This window comes from Homo sapiens, chromosome 1, assembly GCF_000001405.40.
Source record: "Homo sapiens chromosome 1, GRCh38.p14 Primary Assembly".
In the NCBI taxonomy this organism is placed as follows: Eukaryota; Metazoa; Chordata; class Mammalia; order Primates; family Hominidae; genus Homo; species Homo sapiens.
Genome location: NC_000001.11, coordinates 212,212,676 through 212,228,641, shown reverse-complemented (window position 1 = coordinate 212,228,641; position 15,966 = coordinate 212,212,676). Strand labels below are relative to the sequence as shown.

The 15,966-nt window shown below is 44.8% G+C and overlaps 1 long non-coding RNA gene across 3 annotated transcripts in view; it reads left to right on the top strand.

Annotated features, from left to right (window-relative positions):
* The window catches only part of LINC02608 (long intergenic non-protein coding RNA 2608), a 72,020-nt gene extending 56,380 nt beyond the window's left edge, over window positions 1–15,640 (top strand). For 2 of the 3 annotated variants that reach the window (NR_125984.1, NR_125983.1), the window contains one exon: window positions 3,129–3,364. This is a non-coding gene — a long non-coding RNA (long intergenic non-protein coding RNA 2608). Of the gene's footprint in view, window positions 1–3,128; window positions 3,365–13,865; window positions 13,944–15,446 lie in introns of those variants that run through there. The other variant, NR_125982.1, reaches the window with a different exon arrangement.
* Window positions 15,641–15,966: the final 326 nt, after the last annotated feature.

Below are 15,966 nucleotides of genomic sequence, written 5' to 3'. Positions count from 1 at the left end.
ATCAACGAGGTCAGCCCGGAATGAAAATGAGCCAGTCCACCATGAAGATAATCAAGAGCTTCTTGCATTCATTCCCTGTATCTGCTCAAAATTTTTAATTCAAATTTGCTTAACTCAAAATTTTGTTTAAGTCAAAATTTTAGGGATTAGAGATGAGGTGTGGAGAAAGTTCACTTTAACAACTTTGTTCTATTCCAGCCAATTCAGTCATTGTTCTCTCCACACAGAATAGAAGCAATAGTTTGATCCTGAAGCCTGAGCTAAACTCTGTTGGTTGTGTTTGGAGGACAGCTCCCCTTGGCTTTGTGGGCTAACCCCCATGTGTCCTCTCTCTCCCTTCAGCAGATGCTCCCTTACGGATACCACGCCATCCCTCTGAACACAGTATATATTCCTCATGATTCATTGTGGTCAGGAATTTAATTACTGACCACAAATTTTGTGGGAATTATCTCCCAGGGAATTGGGAAAATGAGTGTGATTGTAGGAAAAGATAATCTATTACAGATTATTTTTAAAATAATGTCAAATGTTAATCTTGTATATGGGAAGAGAGGGAAAGACTAAGTTAAAGATAGCAGAAGGTCTGAGGGATCCCAACTAGTGCTCAGGTAAGGAGGATGGGAAAGAGGGAAAGGAGAATGCGAAGGAAGAAGGCATATTTGGACAAAAGGCACATGCCACATGGAATCGTTTTCCCCCAATCAAAGGAGTGTGGGTGCTTCCCAGGAGGGCACAGTGTCACTCTCCAGGTACCCACCTGGCATGGAGGCAGGGGGGCCTGCCCGTGCCTGCCTCTTTCCCACTCTCCTTTTTCTTCCTTCTTCCTCCCTGCCTCCTTTCCTTCCATCCACTTTTACTGACCACCTGTGTGTTAGGTGCTGTGGAGGTGGTGGGAATATAAAAACAACAGAAGAGTCTCTAATGTCCAGTCATTAAGCAGTAGCTAGTAACCAACAAGTTCAGCAAAGCAAGCTATGCAACCATATCACAGGGCTTGTGCTAATAAATGTGGCGGGGCCCAGTGTGCCTCAGTGGAGGCAGCAGCCATTTCCACCTGGCAGCCAATAGTTGATTTCAGCAACAATATTGTTCTCAAAATTTCCCCACACCTACCGCTCTAGAATAAAAGAAAATAGAGACATGACAACCAAATGCAATGTAAGAGTTTTGATTGGATCTTGTTTGAAAAAAAAACATCCAAAGTCCATTGACTTTGGAGAATCAGAAGAGGGAGGATGAGAGAGGGGTATGGGATAAAAAACTACATATTGGGTACAATGTACACTACTTGGGTGATGGGTGCATGAAAATGTCAGACGTCACCACTCTGCGGTTCATCCACGTAACCAAAAACATTTGTACCCCAAAAGCTACTGAAATTTTTTAAAACACACACACACACAAACATCTGTTAGAAGACATATTGGGAAACATTTTGGAAAATGTTATATGATTTGGGAATTGGGAACCAGGGGATATTAGGTAATTATCATTAATTTTCTTAAGTGTAAAAAAGGTTACTGTGAGTATGTCAGAGGATGTCCTTATTTTAAAGAGATGTGTGCTGAAGTATTTAGGGATGATGTCTGTATCTTACATTGAAATAGTTTAGGAAAAAACATATATTTGGTAAAATGTATACAACTGTAGAATCTAGAAGAGGGATTTCAGTGTCAACTGTACTATTATTTCACCTTTTCTATGCATTTGAAATTTTTTATAATAAAAAATTTGAATAAAAAATTATCTCCACTTGCTAGCTGTAGGCCTTTAGTAGAATAAAGCCTTCTGTGTGTCAATTAGCTAACAAATAATCATAACTAACATTTGTCATGTGACAGGCAATGCTGAGAGCTGGCATGCAATAATTTCAGTATGAGCTTTTCTTTACAGAGAGGAAAACCGAGGCTTGGCAAGGTTAAGTTCTTATCCCAAGGCACGCAGATAGTAACTGTCAGGGCCAGATCCCAGCCTGGCTTTGATCTGGTTCTAAACTACCCACTCTTAACTGCCAACTTCTACTGACAGCCTTCTAGAAAAAACCCTGACATTCAATGTCTGGGTGAAGTAATAGTAACAGGAATCATTGCCATGAAGGGCAGTCTGTCAACTTGGGCGTGCAAACAACCATCCTAAGAGCCTTTCTTGCTCTGATAGGGAGAAAAAAAGGCTTCGGGGGCTACCAGAGGAGAAGAGGCCATCAGTGAGTGAGGAAAGGGCATGGAGAGAGGAAGTGGGGAAGGGAAACGGCCTCACCTTATGGACCTGCAGTTCTGTGGGACGAATTAAAGCTGTAAAGCAGGTATTTTTGACTGGAGCAGCAGACAAATGTTTCTGCTTAGTAGAAAAGTTACTGCAGTCAATGCTGTTCCACATCACTAATGAAGGCTGAAAAAAACCACAGCTGAAAGGTATAATGGTGCTTTCTTCTAGAGGGTTGCTTAAGCAAGGTCTCATTGTGCCTGAAGTCTGTATTATTTACTGGCCATTCAGGATGTGCAATGCGATTTAAGAGAGCGGTGCTGGGCTGCATTGAGCCAGCTATACCCTCTTACTCAGTCCCCTGTACAACAGGGCCAGAGAGAGTGGAGGGCAGGATGTGCCCAGCCAATTGGCCTCTATAGGAATTTCAACCATGACCTCGACCTTATTTGCTCTCTGCTCCAGTCTCCTGACTAACCAACCATTGCATGGCAGAGCCTGAGTTCCACAGCCAGCCTGGCGGAGCCACCATGTAATAGTCCAGGGTCAAGCTGTATTTTGCTTTTGGTGTATAAAATGCAAGAACTGGAGAAATCATGTAAAAAGTCAGGAGGAGGTAAACATTTCAAGCACCAGCCTCCCCGGAATTCGGCATTAGAACAAAAGCCACTTCCTTCAGTGCCCTTTTCTTACAGAGCAGCTTTTCCTGTGAGGAGAGAGTTACGTCATTAACACCTTGGTTAGTGGGGTGTTCTGAGTTGTCGGGATTAACCATCTAGGCAGTGGGGTGAAGGGTCCCGTTATGCAGAATGTGGGGACTGCCCCTGAGATGTTTTTGTTTTTAAAACACAATTGTGCCAGCTGATCTCAGTACACATTTCTAGAAAAATCACAGCCTATGACATCACAGACCTTCCTTTCAGCCTCGGACCAGCAGCAACACACTCTGAAGTAGGTCTCAGAAGACAAAAAGCTGAAATCAACTCATGCTTCCTGCTACACAGAATCCACTGAGAGGAAAAGGAAACTTCACCGAAACTTCAGAAAGCTACAGAAATGACATCCATTTTCACAATCCCAGAAGGAAAGATGCATCTGAAGGGAATAAAAACAGAGCAATGGAAGAGTATTTGTTAAAATAAATGGCTTTGACAGGGCATTTTCTCTAAAGGTCTCCTTTGCCTCAAATAGTACTCCTGCCTTCAGTCCATCTTGCATGCCACCCAGCTGTGGGCATCCTGGCAGTTGCTGCCATGTCCTTGCCTAAAAGCCTCCACCCCCAACCAACCCACCCACCCCACAACTGGTCTCCCTTTCTCTGGCTTCTTGGAGCAATAAGACCCCCTTCTCCCAGTGGGGGATCTTTCTGAAAGGTAAACATGAACCCACTCCTCTCCTGCTCAAAAATAGTGGCCGGCTCTCGATCTCCCCAAAGATAGAAATGCACACTTTGGCCGGATGTGGAGGTTCATGCCTGTAATCCTAGCACTTTGGGAGGCCAAGGCGGGTGGATCACCTGAAGTCAGGAGTTGAAGACCAGCCTGGCCAACATGGTGAAACCCTGTGCCTACTAAAAGTACAAAAATTAGCCAGGCATGGTGGCACACACTTGTAATCCCAGCTACTTGGGAGGCTGAGGCAGGAGAATTGCTTGGACCTGGGTGGCGGAGGTTGCAGTGAGCTGAGATCGTGCCATTGCACTCCAGCCTGGGTGACAGAGAGAGACTCTGTCTCAAAAAAAAAAAAAAAAAAAAGAAAGAAAGAAAAATAAAAAGAAATGCACACTTTATTTGGCACCCGGGCCCTAATGACCTTTCTCCTGCCCGGTTTTCCCAGACTGTCTGCTACCACACGGTGTGTGCAGCCTTTCTCCCAATCACACGGACTCCTCTGAATGCATGCCTGTCTTTCTTGTGTGGCGTCTGCCTGTGCCTTTGCACTCACTGTCCGCTTGTCTAAAATGCTCTTCCTCCAAATCCACAGAGAAAACATAACCCAAATGCCACCTCCTCAGTGAAGCCCCTCCAGAAGTTTCTTTCTTTCTCTCTCTCTGTCTCTCTCTCTCTCTGCGTGTCTCTCTCTCTCCACACACACCCTGCTCACCTCCCCAGCCACACAGGTATCACTCCTCTTTTCAGGGCTCTGCTCTGTTCTCTGTTCACAGATCTGCCACCCACACTAGTCTGTGAGCACTCTCTTGGGGACAGAGCCCATGAAGTGCTCATCTTTGTGTTCCCAGTTCTTAGCCCAGTGCCTGGCACCCAGTAGGTGCTTCATAATCTAAGTCCCCCAACCAGCAAGGCCAAATTCTGCTTTTTCCAAGTCATCCTCAACACTCCATAGGAAAGAGTTCTGCTACCACAGAACAATGTATTCTATATTGCCTATAAATTATTACATTTCTCTCTTCCTGGAGATATATATATAGATACACACACACACACACACACACACACACACACACACACACATATGTATATATGGATATATAGGCACCCGGCCTATACAACCTAAATCTTAACAGAAACTCTTGGCTTCTGTATGAGGGACAAATGGAGTCAGTCTTTAGGCTAACATTTTTTCTATAAACTAAGATTTTAAAACAATTGATGTTGATATCTTAAAGGGTCAGTCAACAAATTAATTAATCAAAATTATCTCCTAAACAACAGCCAAGGGCTAATGGAAGGGTGGGAGAGAATTAAAAAATGTGACTTCCCTAAGGCATATTATAGTTTAATAGGACAAAATTTTAAAAATTCGATAATTTAAAAAATTTTTTAGAGACAGGGTTTTGTTCTGTCACCCAGGCTGGAGTGCAGTGGCATGATCACAGTTCACTACAGCCTCAAGCTCCTGGGCTCACACGATCCTCCCACCTTAGCCTCCCAGTATCTGAGACTACAGGTGCATTGCACTGCACCCAGCTAATTTTTAAGAATTTTTTTGTAGAGGCAGGTGTCGCTATGTTACCCAAGCGGGTCTTCAACTCCTGGGCTTAAGTGATCCTCTTGCCTTGGCCTCCCAAAGTGTTAGGAATATAGGTAAGAGCCACTGTGCCCAGCCTACATCCTAAAATACACTATACACACACACACACACACACACACACACACACACACTGCACTCCAGCCCAGGTGACAGTGTGAGACTCCGTCTCAAGAAAAAAAAAAAAAAGATTTAGGTTGTATATTCAGAAGTTGCAGGAATGCAGTGGCCTAATAGGATAAAACGTCCTGGCACTGTGACCTGGCCTCCTTCCCCATTGTCTGTCCTCTTGCTTGGCCTCTTCTCAGGGTGGGCTCTGCTCTCCCTCCCCAGGGCCAAAGGATTCAGAGGCAACCCAAGATTTACGCATCGAATTCCTCACCAATTTTCTTGCCATCACCCTTGTGGGGTCTGGCTCTCTGCTGTTGCAGTAATATTTTTATTTATTTATTTTATTTATTTATTTATTTATTTTTGAGACGGAGTCTCACTCTGTCACTCAGGCTGGAGTGCAATGGCGTGATCTTGTCTCACTGCAACCTCTGCCACCCATGTTCAAGCGATTCTCCTGCCTCAGCCTCCTAAGTAGCTGGGATTACAGGTGCCCGCCACCACTCCCGGCTAATTTTTGTATTCTTAGCAGAGACAGGGATTCACCATGTTGACCAGCCTGTTGCAGTAATATTAATACTTCATCAACAGGACCTGCCACTCTCTAACCTGCCATCATTCAGTGGCTATAAAGGAGAAAATTAATATACATTGCTTCTTCCAAAGTGACCCTGGAGAAACTTTTTTCCCCCCAATTGTCACTACTTCAGAAATTCTAAAATGAGATTGGGGAAGTTGAAGGATATGTGAAAAGTTCTCCCTTGGCTTCCACCTGCCATTTGTTATCACCAGCTATCTGAAGAGTCCAGTTGCCTGGAGGCCTTCAGCTAGGATGATGGTATTCTTTTTTTTTTCTTTTTTCTTTTTTTTTTTTTTTGAGACAGAATCTCGCTCTTTCGCCCAGGCTGGAGTGCAGTGGTGTGATCTTGGCTCACTGCAACCTCCACTTCCCAGGTTCAAGCGATTCTCCTGCCTCAGCCTCCTGAGTAGCTGGGATCACAGGTGCATGCTACCACACCCGGCTAATTTTTTTGTATTTTTAGTAGAGATAGGGTTTCACCATGTTGGTCAGGCTGGTCTCAAACTCCTGACCTTGTGATCTGCCCGCCTCGGCCTCCCAAAGTGCTGGGATTACAGGCATGAGCCACCATGCCTGGCCTGGGATGGTGATATTCTAGGCAGTGTCTCCAGGCTGCCAAGTAAAGCAGTTTCAGAATGGCCTCAGGGTTGATGTCAGCCAAAGGAAAGCAGCTGGTGTCTTTATCCATGACCCTCCTTCCATCTCCATGACTCTGCATTATCCTCCCATGGCCATCCTGCCACAAACTCCCCCTCAAAGGCCTTAGCAGAGGGCCAAGAATTTGTTAGTTGAGGGAAAAAACTTGTTTCAATGTCAAACTGACATTCCTAAGGGCTCCTGCAGCCTCCCCTACCGGAATCCTTCAGATCCTGGGCTTGAATGTTGGTGAGATGGGAATCTAAGTCTGTGCAGCTGTGCAGTCAAGGAGTGGCCAGGTGTTAAGGACATGAGGACAGGGTCAGAGACTAGTTACTGGAGAGATGGACACACATGGGCCCAGGACAGCCTGAGAAGGCCATAAAAAGTCCTGGCATTGTGCCCCAGCCACCTTCTCCATTGTCTTTCTTAACGACACGATCACTGTTAACCAATGGTGGCCCAAACCAAATTCAAGGTCCTGAGAACCCCTTCAAAGAAGGGGAGGAGCGAAGCAGGTAACAGCATCTCAGGGGTTTCAACAGCAGGGATTAGAAGTCAGACTGGGAGTGTCTGAGTTTTGGGGCAGGAAATAAAATACTGAATCTTAGATGGGAAATGCTGAATTATTAGGCAGGTGTTTGGTCAAAGCAGAATATCATAAAGCAGACTGGGAACAAGGACTCAGGATACTGAAGTCAAATCATGCTTACTAGCTGCAGAACTACCTCGTTGATGGGCTACTGGCTGAGAGTATCTCCTTCCTCCTACCTGGAACAAGGTCTGCTCCTAGACCTAGAGGCACAACTGACTTTGCAGGTGGAGCCCTCCCTATGCTAGAGGTCAGCACCTTAAGGAACAGAACCATGCCTGGCTCACTCTCTACTCAGTGAGTGCCTGATACATGGTAGGCACTTGATGAACACTTACTGAGTGAATGACCATTGTGTATGTTTTTGGGGAGCTGGATCAGGATGTAGGCACAGCCTCTCTCCCCTAGAAAAGCAGAGTCAGTTCATCCTGAAGGTTTCACCATTACCAGATATCTGCCTGGACCTGTACAGCTCTAGCCTCTGGATTTATCTTGTTTTAACAAACACATCGTGCTTGCCATGTGCAGCAAATATAAACCAATTTAATATTCAACAATCCTTTGAGGTAGGTATCTTTATTTTATTTATTATTTATTTATTTATTTATTTATTTATTTTTTCAAGACAGAGTTTCGCTCTGTTGCCCAGGCTAGAGTGCAGTGGTGCGATCTCCACTCACTGCAAGCTCCGCCTTCCAGGTTCATGCCATTCTCCTGCCTCAGCCTCCCGAGTAGCTGGGACTACAGGTGCCTGCCACCGCGCCTGGCTAATTTTTTGTATTTTTAGTAGAGATGGGGTTTCACCGTGTTAGCCAGGATGGTCTCGATCTCCCGACCTCGTGATCCACCCGCCTCGGCCTCCCAAAGTGCTGGGATTACAGGCGTGAGCCACCACGCCCGGCCTGAGGTAGGTATCTTTATTAACCCCATTTAATAGATGAGAAAACAGGCACAGAGAGGTCAAGTAACTGACCAAGGTTACACAGTGATAGAGCCTGGCTATGACCCCAGGCATTCTGGCTCTAGAGCCTATACTCACAGAGACAAGCATAAAGGCCAGAGGGTCCAAACCCACCACTATCCATGGTTTAGAATTCAATTATGCAGCGTGGATCTCTATGACCTCTAAAAGCCATTCACCATCCCTAGACATCCTGACAAGTCTGAGATGCTGGTGGTGACTAGAGATATGGAAACAATTCCCACTGCCTTTGCTTGTCTCTGAAATGCAAACGAGACATGTGTTGGTAGAGTATTATCTTGTAGGACAACTCCCTGGGGCCTCCTAGACTCGGCCACCCATTGCACAGGGCCAGTTTCACAAAGGCAGGCATGTAACCTGTGGAGTCACACAGGTCTCTGTGCTTTGAAGGGCCCTGTGCTTGGTTCGATGCACCGCTATTGCCATCTTGAAATTCCTAATAATTTTTGAACAAGGGCTCTGAGACTTTTATCTTGCACTGGGCCCTGTAAATTAGGTCCTGCCTATGCTTGTATGTTGTCCATTAGATTCATCGTGATTTCCTTTCTGTTGCCCTCCCTCTCTTGCCCACAGGAATCAGCCTCTTATAATCTCTGTAAATTCTTGACATTCTTAGGTGTTAGGAGAGCATGCAGGTCAACTCCAGTTCTTAAGAGTCTCTTATTCTAATCTGTTTCTTCTGAAGCTGATTAGGAATTTTTTTTCATAAGATCTTAGGCATCTGATACTCACACCATCCCTCCCACCCTCTCACTGTGTTGACTTCATTCCTCCTGCTTCTGATCTTTCAGCTCCCTGCCAATCCAGGAGCGAGATAAAGACTGCGAGGGCTGAGGCTGGTTGTTGGTAAAGAAAGCCCCAGCTGAAAGAGAACGTCCAAAGTCTAGATTTAAAGAGATTTAAGAGATATTAAATTAATGTGAGGATCTTGTTTAGATTCTGATTCAAAGAAACCAACTGTAAAAAGACATTTTTTTAGACAATCAAGAAATTTTGAATATGAACTGGGTGTTAAAGAATGTTGACAAATTATGCTTTATTTTGTTGGGTATGAAAAGGTGTTGTGGTTACATAAGAAAATGCCCTTATTTCTTTTAGATATCTGTATTGAAGTATTTCGGAGTGTTATAACATGGTATCTAGGATTTGCTCTAAAATGCTTCAGGAGAAAAAAAAACTTAGGGTTGGGAGGGAGAGACATGGAACAAATGTGACAAAGTATTGATGTTTTTTGAAGTTGGTGATGGAATTTCTTAAACTCTTTTCTTTGTGTAGGTTTGGAAGTTTTCATAATAAATAGTTAAAAGCAAAAGAGCAGAGGAGTGACAGACAGAGCATCCAAACCACAATGTTTCCAGAAGAGTAGAAGCAGATGTTTACCGTTGTTCTGTTTCAGTGGCTCAGAGGAATCTCTCTGGTCTCTAAATGAGCTGTTTTTTGCATGTGTGGATGACACAACTTTGCAGTTTCCTCTGAAACATAACCTCCTGGAGCTGTTTCAATAACAGTAGGACTGGCTCCACTGAACCGTCTCCCCTTACTCTCCTGCCTACTTTCTCTTATGATAAAGAGCTTATGAGGATATGAGTAGAATAGGAACTACAGAGGAGCAAACTCATGACCTTAATATATTAGCCTCCTTACAAACTGCCTCTAAGTCCTGCTCCTCCTCTAAATCCTTGCCTCGAAATCTTGCTCCTCCTCTGGACCTCACTCAAATGCTACCCTCTATGACCTTCTGTGACCACCTGATCTATCCTGATCCCTTCTTCCCAATCTCCATGGCATTTGCAGCCCAGCATCTGGTATTTCACCCTCTATTTGGTTCTGAGTTGTTCTCAATCATTTTGTACAACTCAGTCTTCACTCCCCACCAGGTTGCAGTTTTCCATATCTGCTACTCCAACCTGTTTTTAAACAGGCCTATTCCATGCTGAGCACATTGCAGGCCATTCATTCATAGGTTCATCCATTTATTCCTCCAATTCTGAGCACTTACTCCATGCTAGACATTGTATTAGATGCTGGCAATTCAGCAGTGAACAAGATAGACCCAGTCTCTGCCCTGGAGCTCCTTTGGTTGAGGTTGAAAGAGAGAGAGACTGATATTAAACAAATAATTGTACAACAAAGTAATTCATGACAGTGGTGGTACGTGCTGTAAATACAGCATCTGTGGTGCCCTGAGTGTGTAGAACAGGAGACCTGGCCTGGTCTGAAGAGTCAGGAAAGGCTCCCTAAGGAAGTGACTTTAGGAAGGGACTTAAAGGAAATATAATAATTAGCCTGGCACGGAGAGGGGAGGAGCATTCCAGGCAGAGCAAACAGCACGGGAAAGGCTCCTGGGGGAAGTAGCCTGGCATGCCACAAGAAGTTAAGTTTTACGGCATGCAGAGACCATAGTTGAAAATGAGCATACTTTTTGAATTGAGATGAATTTTGAGATTTCTAAGCACACTAGAAGCTGGATTCTTATTATCAGCTAAGTTAGGTTGTTACAGTAATACCCTCCAATTTATCTTGTCTCTCTGCATGCATGCTCCTTTGCAATGTGATTTTGCCCCGCTTCTCAAAAAGCAGTAGAGTCTGTTTCTCTACCTGCTGAATTTGGGCTTGGCTATATGACCTTCTTTGGCCAACGGGATGATAGCAAATGTCATGCAAGCAGAGGCTCTTGCTTGTGGGAACCCTTCTGGCACCATGTCAACAAGCTGTTCCTGGTAGCACTACACGGAAAGAAGCTCCAGCCCTACCCACAGTCCTGGGATTCCACATGAGGCCAGACATATGAGTGGGGCCCTCCTAGACCATCCAGCCCCAACCAAACAAGTTCAGACCAGAAGAATCACCCAACTAGCCACAGAATCAACTAGAATAAACATGTGTTATTGTTATAAACTGAATGCTCTAGGCTTTCCAAAATTCATATATTGAAATCCTACCCCCTAATGTGACAATAGTAGGAGATGTGATATTTGGGAGGTAATTAGGATTAGATGAGGTCTTGAGGGTGAAGCCCTCATGAATGGGATTAGTGTCTCCATAAAATATGCCCAAGGGAGTTCATTCCTCCCTTCTACAAGGTAAGGACACAACTAGAAGGCACCGTCTATGAACCAGAAACCCCTCACCAGACACCAAATCTGCTGGTGCCTGATCATGCACTTCCTAGCTTCCAGAACTGTGAGAAATACATTGTTGTTTAAGCCACCCAGTTTATGATTTTTCATTATAGCAGCCCAAGCTCACTAAGACAGTTTTTTTTTTTTTATTCAGATGGAGTCTCGCTCTGTTGCCCAGGCTGGAGTGCAATGGCATGATCTCAGCTCACTGCAAGCTCCGCCTCCTGGGTTCACGCCATTCTCCTGCCTCAGCCTCCCGAGTAGCTGGGACTACAGGCATCCACCACCACACCCGGCTAATTTTTTGTATTTTTTAGTAGAGACAGGGTTTCACTGTATTAGTCAGGATGGTCTTGATCTTCTGACCTCGTGATCCACCTGCCTCGGCCTCCCAAAGTGCTGGGATTACAGGCGTGAGCCATGCACCCAGTCCATTTTAGAGACTTACATAAACAAACTGTGGTACAGTCATGACAAAATACCATATTGCAATTAAACTGGATGAATTCAATATTTACATGTCAAATGGATATTCTCAAAAACATCAGGTGACTGTACATAAAACAAAATTATCTTCTCTATTTCTATGTGTCTATCCAACTAGTCCAAGTAAAAAACGTGGAGGCCAGGTGCGGCGGCTCACACCTCTAATCCCAGCACTTTGGGGGGCTGAGGCAGGCGGATCACGAGGTCAGGAGATCAAGACCATCCTAGCTAACACTGTGAAACCCCGTCTCTACTAAAAATACAAAAACAAAATTAGCCGGGCATGGTGGCCGTCACCTGTAGTCCCAGCTACTCGGCAGGCTGAGGCAGAAGAATGGTGTGAACCCGGGAGGTGGAGCTTGCAGTGAGCCGAGATCGTGCTGCTGCACTCCAGCCTGGGTGACAGAGCAAGACTCCATCTCATATAAATAAATAAATAAATAAGTAAGTAAATAAACATTAAAAAAAAACCATGGAGCAGATGGAAACTCACCCAGCTCATTGTATTAGTTTCCTATTGCTGCTGTAACAAATCAGCATAAATTTAATAGCTGGAAACAACACAGAAGTCTACAGTTGGTAAGCAGGGCTGTGTTCCTTCTGGAGGATCTAAAGGAGAATACTTGCCTTTTCCAGCTTCTAGAGGCTGCCTGCATTTCTTAGCTCTTGGATGCATCTTACCAGCCTCTGCTTCATCATCACCGACCTCATGCAACATTGTGTCATCTCTTTCTCTGCCTCTGACCTCCTGCCTCCCTCCAATAAATGCCCTTGTGATTATATTGGGTCCAGCTGGCTAACCCGAATAATCTCCCCCATCTCAAAATCCTTAATTACATCTGCAAAATCTCTTTTGCCATGGCAACATATTTACAGGCTCCAGGGGTTGGTAAGTGAACATCTTTTGGGTGGGGGAGTTGGGGGCAGGCATTAGTCAGTCATGGTAGCGTTTAACTGAAGAGAGAAGGAGGAAAATAGGATTAGAGTGATGAACTAAGAGAACTTCATCTGCCAGGTTTTCTTTACTTTAAAAAAACTTATCGGCTGGGTGCAATGGCTGGGTGCAATGGCTCACGCCTGTAATCCCAACACTTTTGGAGGCCGAGGCAGGCGGATCACCTGATGTCAGGAGTTCAAGACCAGCCTGATCAACATGGAGAAACCCCATCTCTACTAAAAATACAAAATTAGCCGGGCATGGCAGCATATGCCTGTAATCCCAGCCACTCGGGAGGCTGAGGCAGGAGAATCGCTTGAACCCGGGAGGCGGAAGTTGTGGTGAGCCGAGATTGCGCCACTGCACTCCAGCCTGGGCAACAAGAGTGAAACTCCATCTCAAACAAACAAACAAACAAAAACTTATCTTAACCAGGTATGGTGGTGTGGGCCTGTAATCCCTGCTGCTCGGGAGGGTGAGGAAGGAGAATCGCTTGTACCCGGGTGGCAGAGGTTGCAGTGAGCCAAGATCATGCCATGGCACTCAAGCCTGGGCGACAGAGCAAGACCCTGTCTCAAAAAAAATAATAAAAGAATAAAAAAGTTATCTGAGACAAATATGTCAAATTGTCATTTTATGATTATGGGTGGTGTTAGAAACAAACTGCCCCCAAAAGCTTCTTGGTACTGCCGACACTCCCCTTCAAACCTCTCCGTGCTGCCCACCTCTCCCGCTAATGCTCTGCAACTCTTCTCCTTCCCCCAAGTCACTTTACATTTCTAAGCCCTTATCTAGGCACCGCGGTGAAGCCAGCAGATTTCACTTACCAGACCTTGCTGTAATAAGCAAACTCCAATTACAAACCATCCAGACAGCAAAGGGGGAGGTTATGGGAAGCATAAACAAACTTTACCTACACCCTCCTGTAATAAACGTCACAAGGTGATATGTGGCAAAATTAACCAGCAAACAACCTTGGGATGTGGCCACACCAAAGAACTCCCTCAAACTCCCCTCCCCAATATAAACCCCTCATTCTGTAAGCTTGGGGCTGCTTCCTCTCTGACTGTTAAGTGGGCAGCCAGTAGGTTAATAAACTTCCTCACTTAACCTTGGGTCTCTTTCTTGTACTTTCTCTCCGCTAACCTTACAGGTGGTAGGTATGAGTTATATTATTCCCTGTACCATTCACTATCTTTTTTTTGTTGTTGTTTGTTTTTTTTCAGAATTCCAAAGAAGATAGAAATGGAGTTAGGAAGGAGATTTTTGCCCTCCTGGCTCTTGTCTTCCTTCTCCACTTCAAGGTATGTTGTGCTACTGTGTGAATCCACAGGGAGGAATCAGACTTTCTTTTTGATAAAGACAGAGCAAGACCTTTGTGTTTTAGATCTACAATGCCTTAGAGAGTAGCTAGATCAATGGTTATCAAATTGCCCGAGGAAGCCCCACCTGGGGCCACACTTCAAGAGGCTGCTGTGGCCAAAGATAAGGATTTCAAAGACTCCTCCTGCTCTTACTCCACTCCTTCCATGCTCACCTTCCTTCAATTAAAGCACTTGCCTTTACCTGTTTTTATGTTGAAGTGCCACATAAGATGTTGGCATTTGAAATGATGTTCTGTTGTTTAATATGTAATAGCTCCCCATGTAAAAAGGAGGGGAGGCAAGTCCTTTGAGCTAGATGCCTTGAAGGAAGAAGAGTCTGTACTGAGTCAGGTGCCCCAGTGTGGGAAGGAAGGAGATAAGTCATTACCAAGGGGACAAAGGAAAGCAGAGAAGAGAAATGGGTCTCCTTAGGGTCACCATTTCCCTTCAGAGCCCCTGTGAAGGAGGGTCATATACATAAACTATATACGATGTACATAGTTTAATATGCATGTACATACAAACATACGCACATACACTCAAAACCACTAATCCATTCCAACCTTCACCATTATGAGCCTGAGGAGCCTGGATTGAGACAGATAAAGTGACTTGCCTCATGTTGAGACTACATGAAAGGTGTTACTATCACTTAGTAAATCTCTTTTATTGGTGGGTCAGAGGCCAGGCTGTTGTAAACCCACAGAGGAAAGCCTTGCAATTTTCCAGTAACTGGAATTGTTTTATCTGAAAATATTTCCTGGAGTCATGGATTCTTAGGGCAGGGGTGTGGAACTGAGGAAGGAGGGGGTGTTTCTTGAGGAGGAAAGATCCTTTGTTCATCCTCCTGCCTCAATACGAATAAAGTAACTGCTGAAAAGAGGGCTATCAGGAAGGAGAGGATAACTCATAAATCTTTACATTTTAAAAAATAGCTTTAGAGGCCGGGCTCGGTGGCTCAGGCCTATAATCCCAGCACTTTGGGAAGCCGAGGTGGGCGGATCACCTGAGGTCAGGAATTCGAGACCAGCCTGGCCAACACGGTGAAACCCCTCTCTACTAAAAATACAAAAAAAATTAGCCAGGCATGGTGGCGGGCACCTGTAATCCCAGCTACTCGGGAGGCTGAGGCAGGAGAATCGCTTGAACCCTGGAGGCGGAGGTTGCAGTGAGCAGAGATCATGCTATTGCACTCCAGCCTGGAGGACAAGAGTGCGAGACTCTGTCTCAACAAAAAAAAAAAAAAAAAAAAAAAAAAAAAAAGCTTTAGAAATTCTGATTCCTCAGAGCTCCAGTGGACACAGAGATGTCTGCCCTTTGCCCTCTTTTGTTCTCCCTTGCTTTTGTGAGCGTATATGTGTTTTCTCATTCTGTCTTTCTGAGTATGCTTTTTGTCTGCCTGTCTTTTGGTTTCCTTTCATATTTATTATATTTCATTTGAAGTGAAAGGACAGGGCCGGGAGTCATGCCTCCCCAGGCGTGAGGCGTGTGTGGGCTGTATCCCAGAGGAGATTTTCTTTGCCAATTGTGGAATGAAGACTGTATCAAAGTTCAGAGGATCCGCCAACACAGAAGAGAGAAACACCAGATGCTTGGGGCCTCTAAGCAGAAGGAGCAACCCACCAATCCCAAGATACCTGCTTGGCAACGTAATGTGCTGTGCAATGTGCGGCAAGTTGTGAAGAGCCAGCATCTACTTCTGGAAGCTGTCCATCTGAAGTTTCTGAAAAAATTTTCATCGGCACCTGTCAGATGACTTGATTTCTGAGTTAAGAGCTGCATGAAGATGTGCCTTCAAACCAGTCTTTGTACATCACGTTCAGGTGTCACTGAGAAAAGTGATGACTAACATTTCTTGGACATATACCTGCTGGGTATTAATCTTTATACTGGGCATTTGCTGATGATAGTGGAACCTACGGGTGGCCTACTCAACTTCTATTTCTCCATTCTTCCATTTTAG